Source organism: Homo sapiens, chromosome 2 (assembly GCF_000001405.40).
Source record: "Homo sapiens chromosome 2, GRCh38.p14 Primary Assembly".
NCBI lineage: Eukaryota > Metazoa > Chordata > Mammalia > Primates > Hominidae > Homo > Homo sapiens.
In genome coordinates, this window is record NC_000002.12 from 1,056,596 (window position 1) to 1,084,246 (window position 27,651).

Consider the following 27,651-nt stretch of genomic DNA (forward strand, 5'->3'; position numbering starts at 1 on the left):
CGGCGCCCCGCTGTGGGGAGGGAGGGAGGGAGAGCGCAGCGCCACGCTGTGGGGAGGGAGGGAGAGCGTCGCGCTGTGCTGTGGGGCGGGAGGGAGAGGGCGGCGCCACGCTGTGGGGAGGGAGGGAGGGAGAGCACGGCGCCCTGCTGTGGGGAGGGAGGGAGGGAGAGCGCAGCGCCACGCTGTGGGGAGGGAGGGAGAGCGTCGCGCTGTGCTGTGGGGCGGGAGGGAGAGGGCGGCGCCACGCTGTGGGGAGGGAGAGAGGGAGAGCACGGCGCCCCGCTGTGCTGTGGGGAGGGAGGGAGAGCGTCGCGCTGTGCTGTGGGGAGGGAGGGAGGGAGAGCGCGGCGCCCCGCTGTGGGGAGGGAGGGAGGGAGAGCGCGGGGCCACCCCGTGGGGAGGGAGGAGAGGGCGGCGCAGCGCTGTGCTGCGGGGAACGATGCATGCCGCTTCCTCCAGGACCTGTGAGTGCAGGGTTGGACGGGGCTTTCTGAGCTTGGGAGCTGGGGCCAGGCCTGTCCTGCAAGCAGCTGGCCTATTTCTGCTAGAAGCTGTGAATTACAACTGTAATGTATTTATTCTAAGGACTAACATGGCACTATTCATAAAAGACTGTGTTAATATTTGCACTGTGCTTTCTGTAATTATACCTCATCAACTTCATTTTTATCTCTATTCTGGCTGTATTTCATATTCCTGATTCTCTTCTGTATGCCTGAAAGGAGAGTTGGTGTATTAGTCAGGGTTCTCCAGAGGGACAGAATTAATAGGATAGACACATGCATGTAAAGGGGAGCATATTAAGTAGTAGTAACTCACACGTTCACAAGTGTGAACATAGTCCGTCTGCAAGCTGAGGAGCAAGGAAGCCAGTTCGAGTCCCAAAGCTGGAGTCCGATGTGCGAGGGCAGGAAGCATCCAGTGCGGGAGAAAGATGCTAAGCCATTCTAGCCTCTTTATGTTTTTCTGTCTACTTTATATTTTGGCTGCACTGGCCCTGATTAGATGGTGCCCACTGAAATTAAGGGTGGGTCTGTTTTTCCCAGTCCACTGACTCAAATGTTAGTCTCCTTTGGCAACACCCTCACAGACACACCCAGGATCAGTACTTTGCATCCTTCAGTCCAATCAAGTTGACACTCACTATTAACCATCACAAGTGGCAAAATATAAATGCCTCTAAATGTGCACAGGATCTTTCTATATTTAAACAATTAGTATAAAGTTGCATTTCAAAAAAATCTTCCAGCTGGACAACATGGTGAGACCCCATCTCTACAAAAGATTTAAAAAAAATTAGGTGGCATGGTGGCGCACACCTGTAGTCCCAGCTACTCAGGAGAATTGTTTAAGCCCCAGGGGTTGAGGCTGCAGTGAGCTGAGATGGCGCCACTGCACTCCAGCTTGGGTGACAGAGGGAGACACTATCTCAAAAAGACAAAAAATAAAAAGCTTTAAAAAATTATATTTGAATTAATATAAATAACTTATATTTGTATCTGCATTCTTTTCTGCTCTTATCTTCCTTGTTCATCAGTTGTTGCTGACTAAGAGATATGATTGTGTGTCAAAAATTAGTATTTTTCTACCAACACGTAAATTTAGAGTACAGTTTTTTGAAAAAAAAAGATAATGAATGGAGATGTATGTCTTCTCAATGAGGGTAGTGTCTCTGTCTTGTCTCTGACCTTTGTGTCCACAGCATGTGGTAAAAGTACAGGCAGAGTAGGCATTGGATTTTTTTTTAAAAAAGCAAACAACACACCAGTAGTGTTAAATGAATAAAGGACACTGGAAATTATGTGACATTGTTTCTTTGAAATTCTCCCTGTTTTCATCTTACATAATGTTTGTTTTAGTGGGTTTATTGGCAGTATTTTAATTTGCTCTGTATTGGATTATGGACAAATAGATTGCTTTCCATATAATTCCACAATACCTGTTACTGCATAGATGCAAAAATCCTAGTGTCTCCTCAGCTGCTGCTGTCTGCTTTTGTCTGATTAAAGTTTGGTTGAGCAGAAGGTGAACCCTGGTTGCTATTTCCAGTGTCCCCCACATTGGGGACCTGCATGGGAGTAGCATCATCCTTGGCTAGAGGGTGGAGTTTTCATCAGAAGTGACCAGCCTGTCTTTGTAGAGGCTCATGGTTCATCTCAAGCACCATCAAAAACATCTGGTTGTACCTAACTAATGGCACCTGTTTGTGCCACACAAGCCTGTGGCCCCTAATGAAAGTCAGATGAACTGAGCTTCCCTGTGCCAGAGCCCTCCTTGAAGGCTCTCATTGCTGTCACTGGTCCAGTGCCCTCTCTGAGATGGGCTGCTGCACAACTGTCTCCCCAGGAGGGAGAGCAGGATGGCAGCCATGGGACCACCCCTGGGCTCCGTCTTCAAATGTTGCCATTTGTCTTCTAGCTGGGCTCACTTTTGGGCAGCATTTCCTTCCTTGTCCCAGTTGCTGCTTCAGTAGAAAAACAGGAAAGCAAATACATCTTTCACCTTCGTCTTTGAACTGCATTGCCCACTGTCTTGCAGTGCCCTTTGCTTAGCTTTGCCATCTGTGCAGTTTCATTTACGAGACTGAGGAAAGTGTGTTCCTGGCAATGGACTCCTGGCACCTTCTGCCATCTCTTAGAGCTGGAGTGAATATTCTACAAACCTGTTTTTAGATTTGATCTTGAGAAGGAATGTAGGAGTTTCCTGGGAAAGCCAAATATCACAGGTCCTTCTCCTCCTGGACTGAGTTTTCAGCTGCAAAAGGGCAAAAAAAAAAAAATAATAATAATCAGTCAAGATATCTGTGTAAACATTTGGAAGATGATGAAGCTTCTACAATGTGAAGTTTACTAGAAGGATTCCACAGGTTTTATAAATACAAGTGTGTTCTGAGATTCTAATGGAAACTTGGAGTCACAATTGGATTTGAACATTTTTTGGAACTTTAATCTTTTGGATACGTAATTTGTAATCTTTACTATTTCATCTAAATACGTTTTTTTATTTTATAAATTTCTCTTTTGTGGAATTTTGAAGTATAAGGAAAACCTTGACAATGGAAATATAAAACTCCCTCAACCCTCATAACTCAGAGGGCATAACATGAATAATCTTAGACAAAAGTTCTTAAAATTTAATCTTTACTTAGAGACCATTTTAAAAAACAATCTAGAATACATTAAAGCTTAAAGATCCAAAACAAACTGAGACATATCTGAAAAAGTACTGGGAAGGTAGATTTTTCCATTTAATTACTACAACATACCATAAATCTATATAAACTAAGACAGAGTTATATTGGATCAGGGGTACAAAAGTTCAGTAGAATCAAATATAGAGCTCAGAAATAGGAGATATATAAGAAAAGTGGCATGGCAGATCACTGTGGAAATAAAATATTTTATATAAAGAGATGGAAAGAATGGTTAGCCACATGAAGTAGGATTACATTTTATCCCTACCTTACATCATATCAAAAAAATAATACAAACTGGAATGTACTCTTACCTGCAGGCCTTAGTGTAGGAAAGATGTTTAACACCAAGACTAAAAGACTTTAGGGATAAATGAAAGGTTTGATAAATGTAATTACACTAAAATAAAACATTTAAATTAAAGGAAGTAAAAAGTTACAAACTGAAAATTACACAGAGGAAACCAAAGGTTCACTTTCAAGAAATGAAATAACGATACCAGTGTGAACTCAGTTGTTTAATATTGATACCTATCTAATGGATATGTAGGTATTAATACACGTGTGTATGTGTGTACTGTGTGTGTGTTTGGAGAGAGAGAAGTGCATAGATACAGAGATAGAAGTGTCCTACCGTGGAGCACTGAGCAGTCCTGGAACCAAAGACACCCTCTAGCATGAGAACCCCAGCTCCCGGCTTTGGATTCTAAATGCCCTTCTTCTTCACAAAAGGGAACCAGGGCCCCTGAGGACAGTCTGGCTCCAGCATTGTGTTAAGTATAAGGTTCATCTGGAAGAGTGACAGGTGTAAAGGGCAGAAAGGTCAGCCTGAAAGTGTCCCATGGGCCAAGCCTCGAATAATTCAAATATGAACCTAAGAATGATACTAAATTATAACTATTTGAATGAAATAGTGAGTTTATACTGAAATAAGTGAATAAATAAATGGAAAAGAAGAAAAAGCTGTACTTGTAGTTAGATGCCAACTAACAAATTGAAAACAAATGCTGAAGTTATAATAAAAGCTATCAATGGATTTAAAACCAGTGGGTGAAGTCAGACCAGGAGCAGGATATGTTCACAGTCCCAATGGGTCCTCCCCTGAATTATGTATAAATTACAAAGGAAAAAATGGTAACATTAGGGTGGAGAAACTTGCGGGTCCACAACTTAACCAAGTGATCAAAATTAACACCACAAATGAGAAGGACAACAGTGATAGAAATGTAAACTTGTGACCCTCACACAATCACACAAACTTCAGCTGAGGAACATTCCACAAAATAACTGACCCATGTTTCCAAAAAAAAAGAGTCAAGATCAAGAAAGGTAAACAAAGGGTGAAAAGGTAAGAGACATGACAGCATAGAGCCGCGTGATCCTGGGTTGGACGCTGGAGTGGAAAGAATGACAAAAGGTGAACAGGTTAAAGAGATGTGACAGCACAAAGCCGTGTGATCCTGGGTTGGACGCTGGGGTGGAAAGAATGATGATAAACATTTTTAAGGCAATTAACAAAAATGGAATATGTGTATTAGATAATAGAAAGGTATTGTGAGATCATGATCAATGGGGTCACATTTCTGCACAACTTGTGTGCAGAAGTGCTGATTGCCTTTGTTCCAGACAACCTTTTCAAGGATGTTTGTGCAGCAAACAGCTTTCCGAGGTTGAGGAAGTGTTTTGCCTCTGATAAAAGGGCAGGCATGCTTATTGAACGTTGTTAAAGTTTCAAAGTTTCCTACGTTCAGAGTTTCTCTTCTGTAATGCAACCCACCAGGTATACAGCTGTCAATCATCTGGCCCTCTTGGTGCTTCATGGGATAGCAGGCTCAAGAAATCATAAAGGAAATTGTGGGTGCTCTGTGTCCTGCTCGTCTCTGAGTAACGAAGTCCTTTAGTCCTTTGTCTCCAAGCCAGGCATCTCATGTCTTCTGCCAGCATCCATGCGCTGTTGCTGGATAACGTGTTAGCTTGAACTTAGGTAAAATCTTAAAACCCTCACAGTTCTTGTCAGGTGTCAATGATCAGGTTTCTGAACTTCGTCTTTGGAATGGAGCAATATAAAAATATTCCATTATTCTTGGATATTACTTGGTAGTATTTAAGAGCAGAGATAAATAAAACAATTACTAAAGAAAAAATGAATATATACTATAAATCTATAACAAAGAAATATGTATCACAATAAAAATGCAAATTATACATCAGAAAAATGGAATTAGACATAAGAGGCCTTTCACAGAAGTAATATGTTAATAACAAACATGAGTGTAATAGAGGAGAGAAACACAAATGCTACAATGAAGGATTTTCACACCATTTGACTGAAAATAAAAAGCTTAATTAGAGGGAGTGTGCACTCACTGGAATTATATAAGTTGCTGGTAGGAATATAAATGGCTCTACAGTAACTCTGATGGCCACGTTTGTCATTGTCTCCTAAATTTGAACATGATCAAGCCCACTCTCAGCCGTGCACCAAGGATATACTTTTGTTGTTGTCTAGATGGAGACATAGAAATAAAAGCACGAAATGATAAAAGATAGGGTTCAGAATCCTGGCAACCTTGGGTGGATGGGAGCAGAGGAATGAAGTGGGGGCTATATTATTAGAATTAGATTTTTTCTCATGGTTTTGGGTATGACAATGATAAAGAAATGTCATCAAATAACTGACTAAATAAAAACAAGCTATGCATGGATCAATGATCAGAAAGTGGGAAAAATGAAGTGGGGTTAATCCAGTAGAAAAAAGAAAAATAAGAGATGTAATATTGTATCTCCAAAGTGTAACAGAATTAACAGTCATTCTTCAAATAAGAAAATGTATTGGGCACCAACTCTACCTTATGACTCTTCTGTGGTACATAAAATGTTGAGTTAAGCATGATTTTAAGTTGATTTTTGCATGTACAAATTTTCCCTTGATTTTTGTGAGTTATAGAGTACTTCCCCTTAAAAGGAAATGTGACCACATTAAGCTTGAAAATTAGACTTAATAAATGTCAACCTACACTTCATGGTGTATTCGTAAGTGATGTATTATATAAAATGGAAAAAATATGTGTGTGTGCATACACACTCACAAACCCATATATATACATATACACACATATACATACATACACACACAGCTTGGTTACAATGCATATTTTTGTTTCTTTGCTTAGTAAAAGATCTACCACATTGTACATAACAAATAGACATTTCTACTGTTCGTTGATATGAAATAACTGTAAAAAACTTAATTGTCCTTACACTTTGTGTTTAGATGTGGCAAGTAGCAAGAGACTGTAGTAACCACTGTAAACCATGACTACACATAGATAAACTCTCAGATCATAGTTCTTTAAAATCTATGCAAGAGCTTTCTAAAAAAGAAGCATACTTTTTTTTAAAATTCGTAAAGTATAAACCCTTCCTAGAGGAGCAGATATCCACCGGTGATGCTGCCGGGCTCCTCACAGATGAGCTAAGGAGAAACCAACTGGACCTTACACAAAACTGTGAAAAGCAGCATTTAGCTGAGTGGGGTGCACAGACTTCCCAGGAGTTGCAACCAAGGAGCATTTGCCCACCAGCCCTTCAAAGAAGCAGGAGGCATTTGCAGAAGCCTGGGAGTGGGGCAGCAGGGCCGAGAGAAGAGTTCCCTCTCAGGCACAGCTGGCTCTCTCCAAAAGCACCAGGAAGGAAAGCTTTCAGCAGGATGGTAAAATGCGGTGTAAGAATAGGAAACCCAGGGATGACCCTGATGTCAGAGTGCTCCTGAAGAGACTGGAAAATAACTATGACCCACATGTGTGATTTCACAAACAGAAAGTACAAACAATTCAAGCAGAAAGGTTATTAATGAAAAACATGTCAGAAATAAATAATTATGTCATTGGGCTTAACTGAAGAGTGGACACAACAAAATACTGAAATTGAAGATAGATCAATCACATAATTCAACAGAAACACATGGGGGAAAAGACATTGAATCAAAGGTGCATTAAATAAAGAAAAAACTTTCACATTTATGGATAATAGCAGAGTCCGACTTAAGTAGATTCCCAGAAGAATGGAACAGAAGGGATATTTGAACATACAATGGCCACGAATTTATGAAATCAGTGAGAGTTATCAGTACATGTCCTGAAAAGTTCACTGGACCCCAAATAGCATAAAATTAAAACAAAATCATTTTTGAAAGCATATAATAATCAAACTGCTGAAAGTGAGAGTAAATAGAAAAATCTTAAAAACAGAAGATTAAAAAGATAAAATACTTACGTAGAAATAATTTAAAAAGACAGCCAACTTCTTAGAAACAACAGGGGCGAGAAGAAAATAGAACCATATCTTCACAGTGCTAAAAGAAAAAAATAATGAACCTAGAATTCTGTATCTGTGAAAGTATTCTTCAACAATGAACGTGTATTAGAGATCCATTCAAACAGAAGTAAAATAAAAAGATTAAACCCTTAAACAGCCTTGCACTGTAAAAAATGTTAAAAGATGTACTTCAGACTGAAAGGAAATGAAAGCAGATAGAAATGTGAACTGCAGGGTGAAATATGAAGTGCCTGAAATTAAATATAAAAAGCACATATCCACATATGTAATTTATGTATGTTTTAATGCATTGATATATAATTATATATATGTATATATACTGAAATATAATTTTAAGTTTATATATATAAAAATAAAGTACTACATTTGGGGGCTTATAGCTATGAAAATCATGACAGCGTGACTATAGAGGATGGGAGGAGTTACTAAAATTAAATTATTTGAAGATTCTTACATCGTTCATGAAGTGATACTATATTTGATGGTAGTTGGTGATAGGAAAAGCTTTTATTCTCAGCTAGAGAAACTGTTAGGAAATTTTAAGAATCTACATGTTTTAGAAAAAACATTAAAAGTGATGCAATGGGATACTAAGAAATATTTGATTCATTCAAAGAAGACAGAAAAGAAGAACAAAGAATACAGTATCCAAACAGAACACACACGGCAAACATGGTGAAATCAAATGAAACCAGATCAAAACTTACCTCACAGGTTAAAGGAACAAGGACTTCAGTTAAAAAGTGGGGATCAATGACAAGACCCAACTTTATGCTGTTTGCAAGAAACACATTTAACAAAAAGAATGAAAGGGTTTGGGGAAGATACTCTGTGTCAATACTAAGCATCAACAACATTGTGGAGCAATTTCATATCAGACGCGGTGGATTGTGGGAAGGAGATTTTATGAGAAAAGTGTGAAAATAGCCAGCTTATTTTCACTCTGTCCGTTGGTTACACGTCAGCTGGAGCTGTGTAGCTGGAGCCACACAGCCATGTGGGATGTGGGGGTGTCAGTCCAGTATGAGCTTGAGAAACAGGGAGTCTTCATGGAGATCTGAGGCCCCTGCCCACTGACTTACCAGGCACTGTGCTCTGTGGCCACCTGCTTTTCCGGGATGCCTGTATTCAGACCCTTCACCACAAGGCATCTGACATAGTGACTGCCCTCTGTTCTAGGTGGGTGACCATATAGTTAATTGTCTAAACCATAAATAGTCACAGGGAACATATTCATGATTACATTGAGATGAGAGGCATAATTGGAATCGCCCCTGGCAACTGAGAGGTGACATCCCCCAAACCTACCCCAGCACACCCTCTGAGAGTGTTTTGGATGAGGTCAAACGAGTAAATTTCTTAACTATTATCAACTGGATGTTTGCTTACTGCTTATTTTATGAAGCACGCATTGTATTATGAGATGATGTTTGTTATATATGTTTACAGTTTAAATATTCAAATTATTTTCAAAGGAGGCATTTTTGTTTTTGTTAAAAAATTGTATTTAGCAATACGTTGCAAATCATGAACTTTCTTCCTAATACCATCTGTTTTATGATACTCTGCTCAGCTTTATATATTTGAAATTTGCAGTTATTTTTTGTATGTCGTTTAGCTAAATGGCCATATTAAATAGATATTCTGGAAAGAGTCTTGTGTTGTAGGATTGGTGGCTTTGAATTCCATGTAGATTTTGGCCTCTGCAGAGCCTCTAACAAGATGTTTGGATTTTGGTGAGAAACTCACCTTCGTTTGGCTTTGGTGGTTTTTGTTGCCAAATGAAGATAACTTACAGGTTACAAAAATAATCACACAAGATTATCTAAAATGCTTTATATAGCAGTCACTTAGGAAACTGTAGCAATAATGATTTCATTATTAGTTTGGTGCAAAAGAAATTGTGGTTTCAGACCATGAAATTCAAATCATTATAACTAGGCTCACACACATTTTTATTAATCAAAATAGGAGCCATTACAAGCAATACATTTTTGCCAATAGAAATAAGTTTGTTTATTCCTGTGGCATAAAAATCCATGCTTCAGAATTTGACGAACTCTTAGAAAGCATTTTCTGCATTCTGCTGGGTGTGGGAATGTTTTCCCTGCAAAACGTTGTCAAGATGGTTGAAGAAGTAGTTGGTTGGTGAGAGATCAGGTGAATATGACAAATGAGGCAAAACTTCGCAGCCCAACTCATTCAACTTTTGAAGCATTGGTTTTGCAGTGTACAGTCACGTGTTGTTGTGAAGAAGAATTGGGCCCTTCCTGTTGATCAATGCTGGCTGCAGGCGTTGAGTTCTCGGTGCGTCTCATCGACTTGCTGGGCACACTTCTCAGATGTGATGATTTTGCCGGGATTCAGAAAGCTGTAGTGGTCAGACCGGCACAGACCACCGGACAGTGACCAGGAGATTTTCTTGGTGCAAGTTTGGCTTTGGGAAGTGCTTTGGAGCTTCTTGATCCAGCCACTGAGCTGGTCATCACTGGTTGTCATATAAAATCCACTTTTTGTCACACATCACAATCTGATTGAGAAATGGTTCATTGTTGCATAGAATAAGAGAAGACGATGCTTCAAAACGACGATTTTTTTTTATTTTTGCTCAGCTCCTGGGGCACCCACTTATCGAGCTTCCTCACCTTTCTAGTTTGCTTCAAATGCTGAATGACCGTAGAACGGTCGTCTTTGAGTTCTTCAGCAGCTTCTCGTGTGGTTGTAAGAGGATCAGCTTCCACGATTACTCTCAGTTGGTCGTCAACTTCCAATGGCGTCGCTACGCTCCTCATCTTCAAAGCTCTCATCTCCTCTGCAAAACTTCGTGACCCAGCACTGCACTGTACGTTTGTTAGCTGTTCCTGGGCCAAATGCATTGTTGCTGTTGCGAGTTGTCTCCTCTCCTTTACGACCCATTTTGAACTCAAATAAGAAAATCGCTCAAATTTGCTTTTTGTCTCACATCATTTCCATAGTCTAAAATAAAACAGCAAGTAGTAAGTCACTAGCAAAAAAAAAAAAAAGTGAGAAATGCGCACTAAAATGTTGTGTAACATAACCACATTTACCGAAGAATGTATTCCAGTATCAAATGGCAAATTCCAACAATGCGGAAACTGCTATTACTTTTGCACCAATGGGTAATGAGATAAAATCACTTCCATTTAATGTTTATAACATCACCGGTTTATCACTATGTCATAGTTAGTACTTCACATATTCTATTCACCATACATTACAAAAACATATATTTACACTTTTTATTTGGGAGAGCTGATTTTCATGGATCACTTATGCTTCTGTGGAACTAAGCATTCACAATCTTCCATGGAAAGGATAAAATACATATTTTTTTGTAAAATCAGTTAATAACATTTTAGGGAAACCTAATATCTTTTTTCTTAAATGTTCTTAAGCCTCTTTTTTAACCTCCTTGGTGTTTCTAAAGTGAGTCAGAGAATGAGTTTATGAAGTTTGGGCTCAAAGAGAGCAAGGGGACCCATGACATAGTCTGTCAGCATTCTCTTTTCTTGGAGCAGCACACGTCTCAGTATCGAACTCAAAGAGGTAAAACTTGAGCACTGGAACTAAGCTATCCAACTACGTAAGGGCACCCATTTATTTTTCAGATGGAGAAACCAAGGCTGAGGAAATTCGAGTGAGGTTATATAGCAGATCAAATGACCCCCACCCGTAAATCATGCCTGGGTGCAACACAGGCTTCTGTACGCAAACCCCAGGGACAGTGCATCGCTTTCCCCGGGAGGAAGTGCAGGCTTATGGGTCCCACAGTCCTTGGACTCCCGGACCTCGGGAGTGGGGCTAGAGCTTTGGGGTGACACTTAGATCCTCTGCACGGTGAGGACAGAAGTAGCCTCTGAGTTGGTCCTTCAGGAATCAACAGGCATTCCCCGGGTTCAGTCTGCTGTGTCAACCTGAGCTTATCCTCATTTCTGCTAAGAGATCCTATTGCCTTGCTTTCAACTGATAATTATTTTACCTGTATCTTTTTCAAGAGTGGTCAGGCACCAGGTATGAAGTAGCTAGTGTGTCACCCAATAATCCAAGGAGGGAGAGTCACTTTCCCACAGATCCTCACATAGCAGGGCGCCCGTAACTGTGTCAGCAGGCCTTGTTTTTAAAAATTTTCTTGAAAGTCGAGGTTCAAGCAGATATAGATAGAATAAAATATTCCTCGGATCCGTTGAGTTTTCTCCTAATATTGGACATTCAATAGGTTGTAGAAACATGAAGCAAATTAACACGGTTTCCACAGTCGAGATGGTAACAGTGGAATGGCAGAGCCCAGTAACCAGGGGTTACGATCTGTTATTGCAGCTGCTGGCCCTGCATCCTTCATGGCATGATATTTCCCTACAGGCATATTCTTAAAAATATGAGTGATAAAATGCTTAAGAAAATCAGAAATACATTAAAATGCAATTAGACAGGTGTTCTCATTTTTATAGCCATTTTATATTTTGTACTGTCGCGTATTGTTGGATTTTAGCTTCAATATTAATAACAAAAGCTCTTTTGACAGTTGCTTAAAAATCCATTACATTTCATCTTAAATTTGTATGCTGAAAGCACTGAAGAAACACATAGCACAGAAGTTTCATGATTTTATTTTATATATTCAGAATGGCATAAAGATAGCAATAATCAATCTTCTCTAATCAGCTTGTGACGTACTATGTTTACAGTAATTAAAAAGGACATTCAGCTTTCTAATCATTCAGAGAAATGTCACTTATGCGCCAGCTGTTTGTCACTTTGTCTTTGCCATGGTAGGGCCGTACTCATTGACTAGAAATGCCAGTTTTTACCTCCAGGCTGCTTAGAACAAAGCTTAAAAGGCTGAGTAAAAATGTGCATTTGAAAGACGGAATTTGTAATAACATCTCTCAAACACGTGTCAGTGTCATTAGCTCTGTTTCCAGTCACAGTGAGGAATGTGTTGCACATGGTTTATGATGGAAGGTGTTTATTATCTCGAGTCATAAACAACAAGTCTATGTTTTGGTCTTATCTCTGATATTTTATAAGATGCTAAGCACCTTAACACGAAAATCGTGTCTGAAAGATTCATCCTGCAAGACTGTGCTGCTTTGTTCTGAGCTGAACTCAGGCAAATATGCCAAAATATATGATGTGGGGCATTAAAATAGTCCAGGCTTCTTATATAAATGAAAAAAATTCTTATATAAATGAAAAAAAAAAAAACCTCTTGTCTTCTGATTTACATTCTGAAAGTAGTCCAACCTGTGCGTGAAACTGAACTATATTCTCATTAAAATTCTGGTCTAAAGCAATGCACGTGGATTATGGAACAGGGAAAGAAAATATCCACTGAGGCTAGGAAAAAAAAAAAAACAAAAACAGGCTGGGCGCAGTGGCTCATGCCTGTAATCTCAGCACTTTGGGAGGCCTAGACAGGGAGATCACGAGGTCAAGAGATCGAGATCATCCTGGCCAACATGGTGAAACCCTGTCTGTACTAAAAATACAAAAATTTGCTGGGCAGGATGACACGTGCCTGTAGTTCCAGCTACTCTGGAGGCTGAGGCAAGAGAATCGCTTGAACCCAGGAGGCAGAGGTTGCAGTGAGCCGAGATCGCACCACTGCACTGCAGCCTGGCGACAGAGCAAGACTCCGTCTCAAAAAAAATAAATAAATACAAAACAAAACAAAACAAAAAAGCAACCCTAGAAAGCTGTCTAGTTGATAACTCAGCTCAAGAGATGTCCCCGGGAACTCTGGGCCCCTTCAGCACCTCACCCAGGAATCCCGGGAAGCCCACTCCTCACCGCCTAGGTTCCCTGGACGCTCGTTCCCACAGCCACTGTTTCTCCCTCCAAGTCATTTCAGAACCCGCGGCCCCCCACGTGTTTCTGCAGTGACGTCAGTGTGCAGGGGGATGGAGCAAAGCCAGTCACCACCTTGGAGCTTTTTGCGAAACCATCGGTGCCAGTGAAGTGATGTCGGCAATTTCTGCCAGTCAGTCTGAGGGGCGGGGGATGGGGCAAGAGGACAGGAGAGCAGGGAGGGAATTACCCTGAGCCCACCGGAGACCCCACCTGACTCTGACCTGTCCTTCGCTCTCTCTTATTTCATCTCGACAACAGTTTTGACAGGTAGATGTGGGACATTGCAATTGATGACATTGCAGCTCTTCAGCAAATGGATGTGGGCTCCCGTTCAGATGCCATCACGTCACCCAAGCTGTGGAACTTCTCGAAGCTTTTGTTCACTCCTCTGTAAAATGAGGGTGTTTAGGAAAACCTTACTCATTAGCCGTTGATGAGGGTTAAATGGAATAATGCTCATGAGCTTCTTAGCAGAGTTTCCGACATAATACATGCTACTCATATTATTTTTAATGTTAATATCGTTTCAATGTTTGCCTCATTTTCCACAAGAGGGAAGTCCGGCTCACAAAAGCTAAATATCTTACTTACATGCAGCAGATTAGAAAGTGACACAGCAGGGATTTATATTCAAGTTTCTCTAATGCCAAAATTAATTCATAAAATCAAATCTATCTTGCCTCACAATAGCCGCACGTTGAGAGTTACATTCATGTTTAAGGTCCGGAAAGGAAGCTTCTTATCAGCTCTGTTGAGCCTCTAGTAACTGGATTTTACTACGATAATTTCTGCAGCAAGCAGGTGAACCGTGACGAGGGTGTGCAGTGCCTGCTGCTGGTGGAGTCTGTAGTGACTGTATTTACTGTGGTATTTTATACTGCAGCAAGCATGTGATCCCTGATGAGGGTGTGCAGTGCCTGCTGCTGGTGAACTGGCTTGCGTCCTGCCTCTATGTGCATTTAACAAATGACATTTTGTGTCACTGGGGGGTGGCCACATTCAATGCGTTGGCAATACTGGGGGGTGGCCACACTCGACGCAGGCAGTGGGACTGGTGCAGAGGACACAGAAGCCTCGGGTAGTTTTAAGTGTTTAAGTGAAAGGAAGAGTGGCCATTGTCTCACTTCTACCTTAAAAACTAGAGAAGATCTGGGTATATACCCAAATGACTATAAATCATGCTGCTATAAAGACACATGCACACGTATGTTTATTGCGGCATTACTCACAATAGCAAAGACTTGGAACCAACCCAAATGTCCAACAATGATAGACTGGATTAAGAAAATGTGGCACATATACACCATGGAATACTATGCAGCCATAAAAAATGATGAGTTCATGTCCTTTGTAGGGACATGGATGAAATTGGAAACCATCATTCTCAGTAAACTATCGCAAGAACAAAAAACCAAACACCGCATATTCTCGCTCATAGGTGGGAATTGAACAATGAGATCACATGGACACAGGAAGGGGAATATCACACTCTGGGGACTGTGGTGGGGTGGGGGGAGGGGGGAGGGATAGCACTGGGAGATATACCTAATGCTAGATGACGAGTTAGTGGGTGCAGCGCACCAGCACGGCACATGTATACATATGTAACCTGCACAATGTGCACATGTACCCTAAAACTTAAAGTATAATAATAAAAAAAAAAAAACTAGAGAAGATCAAGCTTAGTGAGGGTGTCGTGTTGAATGCTTAGATAGGCAGAGAGCTAGGCCTCTTGCAACAAACAAGTAGTCAGGTGGTAAAACAAAGGACAATTCTTGACAGAAATTAAGAAGCGCTGCTCCAGTGAACACACAAATGATAAGAAAGTGAAAATAGTATTATTTGCTGATATGGAGGAAATTTGAATGGCCAGGATAGATCAAACCAGCCACAGCATTCTCTTAGCCAGAGCCTAATCCATAGCAAGGCCCTAACTCTTCAATTCTGTGAAGGTCTAGAGAGGGGAGGAAGCTTCAGAAGGAAAGTTGGAAGCTAGCGGAGGTGGGTTTATGAGGTTCAAGGAAAGAAGCCATCTTGACAACATAAAAGTGCAAGGTGAAGCCACAAGTGCTGATGGAGAAGCTGCAGCAAGTTATTCTGAAGATCCAGCTAAGATCATTGATGAGGGTGGCTACACTCAACAATAGATTTTCCACGTAGATGAAACAGCCTTCTATTGGAAGAAGACGCCATCCAGGACTTTCATAGCTGGAGAGGAGAAGTCAGTTCCTGGCTTTGAATTTTCAAAGGACAAGCTGACTCTCTGACTCTCTTATTCTGGGCTAATGGAGTTTGTGACTTTAAGTTAAAGCCAGTGATTTTCTTTTTCTTTTTCTTTTCTTTTTCTTTTTCTTTTTTTTTTTTTTTTACCATTCTGAAAATCCTAGGGCCCTTAAGCATAATGCTAAACCTACTCTGCCTGTGCTTTATAAATAAAACCACAAAGACTGGATGACAGCACATCTGTTGACAGTGTGGTTGACTGAATATTTTTAGCACACTGTTGTGATCCACTGAGACAAAAAGAAAAAAAAGATATCTTTCAAAATATTACTACTCATTGACAATATACATGGTCACCCAAGAGCTCTGATGGAGACATACAGGGAGATTGAGGCTGATTTCATGCCTGTTAATATAACATCCACTCTGCAAGTCAGGAATCAAGGTGTAGTGTTGACTTCAAGTTTTATTATTTAAGAAATACATCTCATAAAGTTATAGCCGCCATGGAGAGTGATTCCTCTGATGGATCTGGGCAAAGTAAATTGAAGGATTCACCATTCTAGATGCCACTAAGTACACTAAGTACATTTCATGATTCATGGGAGGAGGTCAGAATATCATTAACAGGACTTCGGAAGATGGTGATTCCAGCCCTCATGGGTGACTATGAGGGATTTAAGACTTCAGTGGAGCAGGTACCTGCAGATGTGGTAGAAATAGCAAGAAAACTAGAATTAGACGCAGAGCCTGCAGATGTGACTGAATTGCTGCAATCTTATTATAAAACATTAATAGATTAGGAATTGCTTCCCGTGGATGAGCAAAGAAAGTAGTTTCTTGAGATGGAATCCACTCCTAGTGAAGATGCTGTGAACATTGCTGAAATGACAACAGAGGATCTAGAATATTCCGTGAGCTTAGTTGATGACACAGTGGCAGGGTTTAAGAGGTTTGACCTCAATTTTGAAAGAAGTTGTACTGTGTGTAAAATTCTACCAAACAGCATCAAATGCTACAGAGAAATCTTTCATGAAAGGAAGAGTTAATCTATGTGGCACACTTCAATGTTGTCTTATTTTAAGAAATTACCACAGCCATTTCAACCTTCAGCAGCCACCATCTTGATCCGTCAGCCTACAACAACGAGGCAAGGTTCTCCACCAGCAAAATGATTACAACCCAGCCAAGGCTCAGATGATTGTTAACATTTTTAGCAATAAAGTATTTTTTTAATTAAGGTATATACATTGTTTTATACGTAATGCTATTCCACACTTAATAGACTACAGTATACTGTAAACATAACTTTTATATGCACTGGGAAACCAAAAAACTGTGTGACTTGCATTATCGCAATATCCACTTGATTAGGGTGGTCTAGAACCAAACCTGTGATATCTTTGAGGTTGCTTGTTCTTCTTTCACACACACTACATAGGAAAGTAGTCATTTAAGTAGATGTAATAACATTATATCCAATGTTCCCTATTATTGAACATTAAAACCTTTTTTCCCTTAAATGTTTTTGGCTGTTGAAATTATAAGTTTATGTAATTGCTTTTGTGGTTAGGGTGAAGTTGCATGATGAAAACTTTGCATTCTTTTCATTAACAAATAGTTAAATGGTTATATGTTAAAAGCGTGTCTCAGTATTTAATATGCCTATTTTGTAGAAAGAGGGAATTTTAAAAAGATATTTTTCCTGAGAAAATTTTTAATGGTGTCTATAAAACCTATTTTTCTTTAGCTCGTATGTGGCTGTTGAACCTTAATTTTGACAAGATAAAGATGTTGGATGGACTCTCAATATTGATATGTGGGTTCAAAAGGAAACCGCCCAGATAGGTTCCCAGACTCAGTAAGTGGCTGGTGTTTGAGCATAGCCAGGTGGAAAGGACCAGGGTGAAGACACGGGGAGGACTCTGGTCTCCAGCCTTGCTGCCTCCCGGCAGCTGCAGTGTAGCCCCTCTGTGCATGTGTGACCCTCGTCTGCCCGGGGGAATGCTCAGACATGCCCTGCTCAGGGGTAGGAACACTGCCAAGTAGCCCTTTTCAGACTGTAAATCACTGTGACCTCCTTGGCTGAGATGATGCGTTTCTCCCCTGACATTCTTTTTGATCTAAATCTACTAAGGTAAGCCTGCTAAAGGGAGCACACTCCTGGGAAACTGGAAGGAAGGAAGTGATGTGGTTCAGTGTGCAGTTTTCAGGAATATTTATAAAATCTTAATTAAAACAGGTAGAATAAACAGTGGTCTTTACATTGAGGGAGAATTTTCCTAAGTTTTGAGAAATTTGATAAAGGTATTGTTAAGTAATCAGCATTTCAATTCTATAAAAATGAAAAGATAAGACTATTTTGTAATTCGTTGCATTTTACCTGATGAATTTAATTCATTCACCCCTAAGATTCAAAGCTTACTCTGTATCTGACATTAAACACACCTCCTACAATTTATACACCTTATAACTTTTTCTGGAAATGTTTGCCTAGGAGTAAACAAAGTATTAAATTATAAAGCAACTCAAGGGAAATTATCAAATGTTGAATTAGCAGAACCTAAAAAAATGTAATGACTATAATAGGCTCAAGTTATTTTTTAAACAAGTCTATGTTAAGTAATACTATCCTAAGAGAAACAATAGTTTTTAGGAATGTATCCATTTGATTCACATGGCACTGTGAAGTTTTTGAATCAGTTTTACGTGTGTAATCTAATTTAATTATTATTTCACTGCGATGTTGGTCCAAGAATCAGATTTTATCATTTTAAGTAAAAAATCCATAAAATAATCATGGAATCATATCTGACTATACAGAATGGACCATAGAGATCCAATATTCTCCTCATTACAGGTGCCAAGAATAATGCACATAAAAGAGTAATAACTTAGCCAAAGTCACATAACTAAGAAAAATGGATCAGATGAGGGTTGGAGTATAATTAAACAGACACATGTGTGCATGTTTTTAAGTGGAGAAGTGCTCACTGAGTCCCCAGCCTGTCCTAGGCACTGTTGGCCTCTTGGGATGCAAAGTGAGTGGGGACGACCTGAGTGGCAGCTCCTACGTCCTTTGCAGCTACCACACATTGCAGGGCTGAGCTGTGGCCACCAGCAAGTCTCAGCCAAAGACCCTGCTTTTATGGGGACTTCATTTTATGTCTCTAAACTTCAAACTCTTAACTTTGATGGGCAGAATATTATCCATTTTTCCAATGGAAAGTGTTTGTCATTGTTCATTGGAAGAAAATGTGGAAAGTGTTTGTCATTGTTCACTGAAAGAAAATGCATGCTCAGGTTTCTGCTTTCATTTAACCTTCCAAGGGCAGCTGTCATTGTTTCTATGTAGATCTTAGTGGGACACTAACTGAGTGGCGTTCGTTTTTCTTCTTATCCGAATTGTTTTGGTTTATATCTAAAACTAGGAGTGTGGATTTTCCTCACTCAAATGACATTTGCTGATAGATTACTTGTTGATGTCTTCATTCTTTCTGTTTGTTGGATATGCTGCTGGATTAAGAGAGTTTATTTTTCTTTCTTGTGCCAAAAAATGGTTTCATTTGTACTAACATGAAAATATCCATAAAGATAACCTGCCAGAAAAATGACTGAATTGTATTGGACCACTGCTGTTCTGTGACAGGTTCTCTGTTAGGAACTTTCACAAATACCGTCTCATTTACCCATTTGCGTGTCTGAATAAAGTTGCAATTATCTCCTTTTACAGATCAGGAAGCAGAGGCACAGAGCGGTGAGGCAGATTGCACGCCTGTGTGTAGGCAGCACGTGGCAGACGTCGTCGGACGTGTCTGTGGCTCGCTCCACCTCCTCCAGGGGCTTATGTTCTACATATGACTAAAGTCATTGGTCACGCAAAAATCTTCAATGCCAGTTATACCACCAGTATACAGATGTATTTCCATACAACCTTCAATCTTTGGTAGACCCAGTTGACCAAGTCAGAAGGCACAGTATTAGAAGTTTAGAATTCTTGATAACCAAGCACTTCTTACAGCTCCCTTAGCTGTTAACTTCTAGAAACTGGGCTAAATTGGAAGTCTGTTCCTTCCTTCCACCCGTATGGCCCAGTAATTTGCGTGGTTAGTTTCTCCTCCCCGTGCCTCTTCCTGGCTCTTTACGCTTCTTCCAGCACCTGATATGCATTCACTGATTCTCTCAATGCCAGCGATTCAGGGAAGGAAATATACTGACTTCTGGATAAACAAGGGGCAATGCTTTATAACAACTTGCATACATTTTTGTCACACTTTGAATCTATAGAATAGCAATAATTATTTGGTGAGTGTTATGCTGTGTGATACTTTATGTCAAGTATATTCTGTTTTAGAATAGCCTTCTCTGTTTGAATCTGCTAGAAGGCATCAGTGTGCTATGCTTCCAACAAAGACATACGAGAATGATCTCAGCAGAGATGCACTCAGCTGCATAAATAAATTAAAAAGCAGTAAAATAGGTAAATTTAGTATTTATGATTATTCTAAATTATTAAGAAACTCACCTTAAATTTTATGAAGGTAAATCAACTTTAGTAACAAAAATCAGGACTTAATAAAAAAATTGACCTTCATAGATTTAAATAATCAATAATAAATAATGCATTTTCATAATTTTAAAATTATAAACATTTGCATAAATTATTAATGTTTTGAAACCCTATTCTGAGTCTTCTCCATGCTATGTTTACATGTATATATGTACATGCTATATTTACATGTATGTACGTACGTAATTCTTAATATATTAGTTTTTATCATACTCTTCTGCTTTTCACACATGCTTGTTATTTTTGGACTCCTTATCAACAGATGCTGAACTAAATATTTTTAGCAGCTTCTCAGTATCACCTATAAATCATAATGCACTTTAAAATGAAAGGTGTGAAATGAACACCTTGCCCGCCACTCTCAGTGCCAAGTCTGATTGTATGTTTAGGATGAATTCTTAGAAGTAAAAATGCCACATTAAAACCGAGGCCTAGTCAACGTTCACATCTGTTTCTGAGTGTTTTCTGGGAACATTCTGTGCGTTCACACACACCTGCCAACACCATATGGACGTCCATGTCCGCACGTCTTTGCTGGTGTGCGGTGTTGCTATTCCTTTTAAACATTTACCTGCCTGGTAGTTTAAAATTCTTAATGTTGTAGTGACTGTGGTTTTTTCATGGCTAGTGAGGTTGCATGTATTTTCACATTTATAATTCATTTTCTTTTCTTTCTCCTTTTGGGAATGACTTTTATATTCCCTGCTCAATTTTCACAGGGTGCTCGTGTTTCCTCATGTGAGGCTCCATGAACCCCGGGTCTGCGGCACGCATTTAGTTTCGAATATGGTATTTTTGTTACAGAAAGGTTTTTTATTTCTATGTAATGAATCCTTCACTCAAGAACTTCTGGCTTTTGAGTCACACTAACCCAATATGCTTACACACATCCCCGCACACAAACACACACACACTGATATTTCCTCACAGGTTTTTATTTTGTTTTTCTACATCCCTGTGACTGTTGATCTCTCTGGAACGAACTTTGTGAAATGAGGCATATGACACCCATGTTTACAGTTATCAAAGCATTACTACATTGAGCAGTAGTCTGAAGATCTTTCTCCGTAGGAATGTTTTTTGTTTTTTTTTCTCCAGGGATGTCATACACCCTACAGGTACCCGAGACCTCCTGGTGCTGACGCGGGTTCACGGCCCTCACTGTTTTGCGGCTGCTGTGGCATCGTGGTGGATTTTATGTTTTCATGTCTCTCTGTAGCAGGTCCTTTTCTCTGCAGCTGTCTTATTTCATTAAACACATTGTTAGAATTGTAAGGCTACACTTCAAAGTTGTCTGTACTGGATTTTTATTGGAACTGCATGGATAAAGTTACAAGGGTGGAAGTAGGCTTCCTGTGGCATTCCGTTTGAGAACTGTCTTGTGCCCCTCGGATATGCCAGGCTGGGCTGTAGAAGCTGGTCCCCCTGAAGTGGAGAAGGTAGAGAGGACCCTTCCATCATGGAACTCATGCTCTGTTGTCAAGCGGCACATGGGTTCTGAGAAGTTCTAGGGAGAAAGATAAAGCTGGGAAGAGGTATGAAGAGCAGTGGGGATGGCGGAGTTCCGATTTTAACTGGTCAGTTAGGGAAGCTGCCGAGGAGGGGACTCTCAGCCCAGACCCCAGGACATGAGGATGCCAGGAGAGGAGTGGGTGGGGCAGGTGGACAGACCCCAGGCAGGTATGGCAGGATTGCAGGACAGCTGGGCAGGGCAGGTGGATGGGCCCCAGGCAGGCACGGCGGCGCTGCAGGACAGCTGGACAGGGGACAGGGAGAGACTGCAGGTGCCGGCCTCACAGGGCATCACCGGACACTGGCTTTTCCTTTGAGAAATGGCAAACTTTGGGGAGATTTTGTTCAGAGAATGATGTTACCTGAACCGTATTTTAACAGGGCCGCCCAGCTGTGACCTTAAGAATACACTGAACTGGGACAAGGCTGGAAACAGGGAGGTCTTTTATGAGGCCAGTAAAGCAGCTTTGAAGGCAACTGAACCCCGTGACCCCAGGCAGAGGGAGAGACATTTCAGGGGATTTGCTGGTGAGTTGGACACTGAGGGTCAGGAGGGAGGAAGGTCACAGGAACTGAGGAGTTTCAACCAAGACAGCAGGGTGATGCCGTTGCCACCCACTGGGGTTGGGGGAATCGTTGGATGAGAAGGGGTTTTGCTTTTGTTTTTAAATATTTTTATTTGTTTTGAATGGGAAAGACTCAAAGTTTACTTTTGAAGAAGTTGAGTTGGAATAACTATTTTATTTCCAAGAAATGTGTCAAGGAAATGTATTCAATTAGCTCATTAAATACCCAGAATCACTTAAGCAGTGGGAAATGTGGGCCTTGGAGAAGGCAGGACCCAGCGGAACCCGCGTCCCCTCTCCTTGCTTTTATTCCTCCTGGTGAGTGACCTGCTGTTATCTCAGCACCTCTGTGCCCAGGCTGTCCACAGAGGTTTTCCTGGAGGGCTACAGGTGATGTCTCCAGGGCACAGGAAGGGGCACAGAAAGCAGTGCCTGGAGGGCATATTACTGCATATTACGGCAAATAATTCTCTCTGGAAAACTAAGGCCAATTTGACATAATGTGTGTTAGTATAGAAGAAAGGGATTAGCATAAATTGCAACTTTGATTTGGAACGCCTAATTACCTCTAATCTGGTTGTGTTCCTGACTTTAGTTTTTTAACATTTTGAGCAGAAGTTAGGTTTATTTCAGATGGCATCATCTGGTTCGCACGGTGTAATAAAACAACAGATGATCTATTAGAGGTCTTTGTTGAATCTTATTTGCTTTCCTTAGCTAGCATTTAAAATTTTATATATTTAAAATACTATGTTTTATTTGTTAAAGCTCGGCACACCCTTCCCGTGTCCTCGGTCATGGAAACTGTTCTCTGTGGACACCAAGTTCAGTGTTTTCCATTCCTAGATCCCTGGGTTGCAGGCAATGTCCTCACCAGGACAATTAACCGGTAGCAATGGTGAGTGGTCAGCGTGATGAATTAGTTGGAAGTTAATATCCTATGTGAGTGTGGACTTTACATCAAGATATAACATCGATCAATATCACATCTTTTTGATGTGAACTAAAAACTGTTCTTGTCCTGAATAACGAGAGCAGAGCAAGCCCTTCCTCCGAAGGCGGCTGCACTACCTGAGCTTCTCTGGGAGTGGCCCACTGCTCACTGTGGACGCTGCTCACCACGCATCTGCCACTTGGGGTCTCTGCACCCTGTTCCGGGTCCTGCTCCTTATTAGTGCCGCCCCTGAGGTCCTCCATGAGAGCCCCACGGGTCCCCCAGGGCGGTGGCGAGGGGGACTTGTCCTGGGCAATGGTGTGGCTGGGGGACAAGCGATGGCTTAGTGAAAGTCTGCAGCAAGAATGTGCTCAGATGCATCGGTCACTGGGGGATCTGGAGAAATTAGGCTAGCCAGAGCTCCTATTGCTAGGGAGATTCCTAGGTCATCATGGAGAAAGCCTGTTTAGCAGGATGATATGGCCTCTGTATGCACTCAGAGTGAGTGCGTCCTTCCAGACACTGCCTGTGACTTATTTTTATAGGAATTTGACTTTTACTTTGAGTTTTGGGTTCCAACTTTACAACTCCAGGCTTGGTCTGTATCAGCTAAAACTTTTATTCATGTGCTGACCTCAGCATATTGATACACTTGCTCTTCTGTGGTGTGTATGTGCCTATGTGTATGTGTGTGCATGCATTTGTGTGTGTCTGTGTGCCCGTGTTTGTGTCTGTGTGTGTGCATGCATCCCTGTATGTGTGTGCATGAGTGTTTGGGCATGTGTGGAGGTATGCATGTAGGCCATGTGTGTTGCATGTGTGTGTGTGTCTGTGTGCCCGTGTTTGTGTCTGTGTGTGTGCATGCATCCCTGTATGTGTGTGCATGAGTGTTTGGGCATGTGTGGAGGTATGCATGTGGGCCATGTGTGTTGCATGTGGGTGTGTGTGCAGGTGGTTTATAGGATGTGGGAGGGGAGGTTGGAAGTTGGAAGAGGCATGGCTGCTTCCTGGGTGGTGGCATGAGAAAGGTCTGGATGCTATAAAAGCAGCAGGTGTTTGTGTTTTTGGGTGGCCTAGGTCAACAATTAAGGACATACTTCTGAGCTCCATTCTGCAGGAATCATTACCGAGAACGCTGGTGGCCCTTCCTTTTCTCAGAGCCTGAGAGCTGTCAGTCATAGTAACTGGCAGGGAGCGTGAGAACCATGGCCCCAGGAGAAGCAAGGAGAGAGACTGGGACCTGGGACCTCTCCCAAGCCTCAGGGCCCTTCTCTTTTACGGCAAACAGGTTGACTTTCCGCAGGCCACGGCGTCCTGAGGAAGCCCCATCGCTCAGCCCCTCCCATTGTCAAGCCCACACGCCTGGGCTAGGGGCTCAGTGCTTGCAGCCCTGTGGCGGAGCTGGCCTTGCCTCCCTCTGTGTGCAGCGGAGTGGGGGATGCCCACTTGTCATCAGGCGCCCGTGTGTGAGAGTAAATGCGGGAGGCAATGGTGAGATATCCTCACAGGTGTGGTGAGAACGCACATCAAAGTCAGGCAGGGAGCTGCGGGCACCTACGTTTCATCCTGTTTCATGCTGGTTAGCTAGAATTCTGTTTTCCCAGTCGAGTGTTCACTTATAAGAGTTACACGTTACACACACTCATGGGGAAATACTGAGGAGGGTCTTCCTGCCCTTAGGGATATGTCTACATTTCTTCATCTCTCCAGTGAGCTCAGCCCTCGGTCAGGCAGGGCCAGCAGTCAGGCTGCAAAGGGCCAGGGGGCCTGGGTCCAGCCACACCCCATGCACCTGGGACATAGCCAGGGCCTCCTTCCCGGCTGCCCTTGGTGCCTCCACAGGCACTGCCCCTTCCAGAGAGCTGGTGGATCCACAGACGTCCCGTGAGCTCCCAGAGCCGTGGCAGCACTCCCAGTTCCAGCACCCACCCGGTCTGGCAATCTCACCCGTGTACAGCCCCCTGGGGTCAGCGAAGTGGGTGGGAGCACACAGTGCCCACAGGGATGGGAAGAAACCATTAGAGTTCCCATTGGGTGCAGTTTTACTTATGCTGGGTGAGGTGTGGATTGCAGTGGCCGGTCCCTGGGCTGCCAGCCAGATAGTCACGTGTGACAGTGTGTGTGAGCACAGTCCTGCATGTGTGGTTGTTAAATTACCAGATGCAATGCAGTGGGGCACACACTCTTTTTTGTGCTGTGTTGAGTGATTGAAAGCCAGAGGAAACCACTTGGAACCCTCCTGAAACTCTCCTGTGCGTGGGGATCAGCTGAGGATGTTGGGAGGAGCAGATTCTGGCTTGGTTGGCAGCTTCCCTCGGCGATGGTCTGTGGTTCCCATGAGTGCTGAGGAGGCCTCCACTGTGGAAACAAGCCCAACAAGCCCTTCCTACCGCACTGTGCTACTTAATGGAGGCATTTGATGAGCTGGTTTTCTAAATCCTTTTGCTATTTGATGAGCTGGTTTTTTAAATCCTTTTGCTATTTGATGAGTTGGTTTTTTAAATCCTTTTGCTCAGCCTGGATCTTACCTGATGAACTCCGGATCTCTGGGGCAGACGCAGGCGCTGGGGCTCCTTGAACCCCCTGTTTGGTTCTCACAGCAGCTGAGTTGCAGAGCTGCAGGGTCCTATGTGGCCACAGCCTCATCCTTCACACGTGGGGACCTCCCCGTCCGTGGGCCAGGCTCTGCCCTCATGTATGGCTCTGAATGTGAGGGTTGATTAGCACTGGGGCTCTAGGCAGAGAGGATGGTGGAGTCTCAGCCCTCCTTGCTGGGCCACTGGCCTCCAGCTGTGCCCATCCCTCTCCCCCGCCACGTGGCATGAGGACCAAGTGCCCTGGCTGCCACCCCTGCTCCTGCACTCCGGAGGCTGGGTCCCGACAAGGCACTGGGCATGTGGCCGGGCATAACTGCTATCCTGTGGGACGCCCAAGCCCTGTGCCTGACCGGCGGCCTGCTCTGGAGCCCCCAGGGTGGCTTTCCCTGACTCTCCCGGAGGAGGAGGCAACGTTTCTAATGATCCAAAGGTGTCTTTCTGAACTGTCTTTCCTTCATCTGCTGACAAAGCTGATAGATTTATCTTCTTTGACTAATTAAACTTCCCTCCTGATCAATACTTCCTAGCAATTCCACATTGTGTTGCTTGCTGTCCAGGAACAACAGGCCTGGCCTGTTCCCCAGCTCCCAAGACACAGCAGCAGCCCCTGCAGGAGCTTGGGCCACGCCCACCTGCTCCCTTCTGAGAAGGCCGCTTCCTCCTCGGCTGTCGTTACTTCCAATGTGTTCCTTTCCTACTCCAGGCCAACAAACCTTCACACAGATATTTTATGAATCTTAAAAACTATCATTTTTATTCAAATAACTTTAGTTAAACTAAAAAAATATATATATATATATTTGGAAGTGGGAAAAATTATTAAAATAAAATACTATAAAACTTCACAAGTTAAAAAAAAAACAAACGCCTGGCTAATTTTCTTTTAAAAACATGCCTTATATAAATCCTACAAAAACGGCTCAGGAACAATTATTCAACATTTTATTATTTTTTGCATAAATGAATCAAATCCTTATCGGTTGAGCACAGATCTGTGCACACGCGAGCACTACACGTGCATTTTAGGATTGTCTTGAGCAGGAGGCGTGCGTCACCTATCCCCACCCCTGGCTCCTGCCCTCACACCATTTTTTTGTGTTTCCACTTTGTCCCTACAGACGAAAACCACTATTGCTCTGTTGTATGATGAAGAGTCCGAAAATGCCTATGACATCCGGCTGAAGCTGACGAAAGAGGTGCTGACAATTCAGAAACAAGATGTTGTCTGTGTGGGCGGAAGCCACCAGGGCAGGAATGTAAGTGCCATCACTTCAGGGAAGTCTTGGAGTGTTTCGGACGAGCCCCATGAACGGTCTTTGAAAAGTGTGGTTCAAGAATGATTGCTGAGCAAAAGCTGCTACTCGTTATTTAAATATCCCCAACTACTGGCTTTCACTGTGTCACAAAATACAGTTTTTAAGGTTGTATTATTTACTCTCTCCCTGACTTTCTTATTTGCCAATACATTTTCCATGTAAAGCTTTACGTAAAAAATAGCCCCAATCCTGGCGTGTGCCTGTAATCCCAGCTACTCGGAAGTCCGAGGCAGGGGAATCACTTGAATCCAGGAGGCGGAGGTTTCAGTGAGCCAAGATCGCACCACTGCACTCCAGCCTGGGCAATAGAGCGAGGCTCCATCTCAAAAAAAAAAGGAAAAAAAGAAAAAGAAATACCCCCAAAAGCCACCATGTGAGATGTGGAATGTTTTCAGTGTGTTTTTGAAAATATTCCAAAAACCATTTCCATTCCTACGTTCTAGGCTGGCCCTTTCTGGGGGCACAGGCTTAGGAGACCCTGTGTCTATTTGGTTTTCTGAGTCCTCCTGTCCTTTACCTTGGAAATAAAAT

At 42.1% G+C, this 27,651-nt stretch overlaps 1 protein-coding gene across 14 annotated transcripts in view, besides 1 other annotated feature; it reads left to right on the forward strand.

Annotated features, from left to right (window-relative positions):
* Nucleotides 1–27,651, forward strand: part of SNTG2 (syntrophin gamma 2) — a 416,765-nt gene that overhangs the window by 105,747 nt on the left and 283,367 nt on the right. For 13 of the 14 annotated variants that reach the window (NM_018968.4, XM_047444795.1, XM_017004374.1 and 10 more), the window contains exon 2: nt 26,923–27,060. In NM_018968.4, coding sequence (NP_061841.2) covers nt 26,923–27,060 — 138 coding nt within the window. Of the gene's footprint in view, nt 1–26,922; nt 27,061–27,651 lie in introns of those variants that run through there. The other variant, XM_017004363.2, reaches the window with a different exon arrangement.
* Nucleotides 21,392–21,908: an enhancer, noted in NCBI's record as "H3K4me1 hESC enhancer chr2:1073673-1074189 (GRCh37/hg19 assembly coordinates)". NCBI's record gives its function as "activates a minimal SCP1, AML or CMV promoter by ChIP-STARR-seq in primed H9 embryonic stem cells {active_cell/tissue: H9 hESC(primed)}" and the evidence as "EXISTENCE:reporter gene assay evidence [ECO:0000049][PMID:30033119]".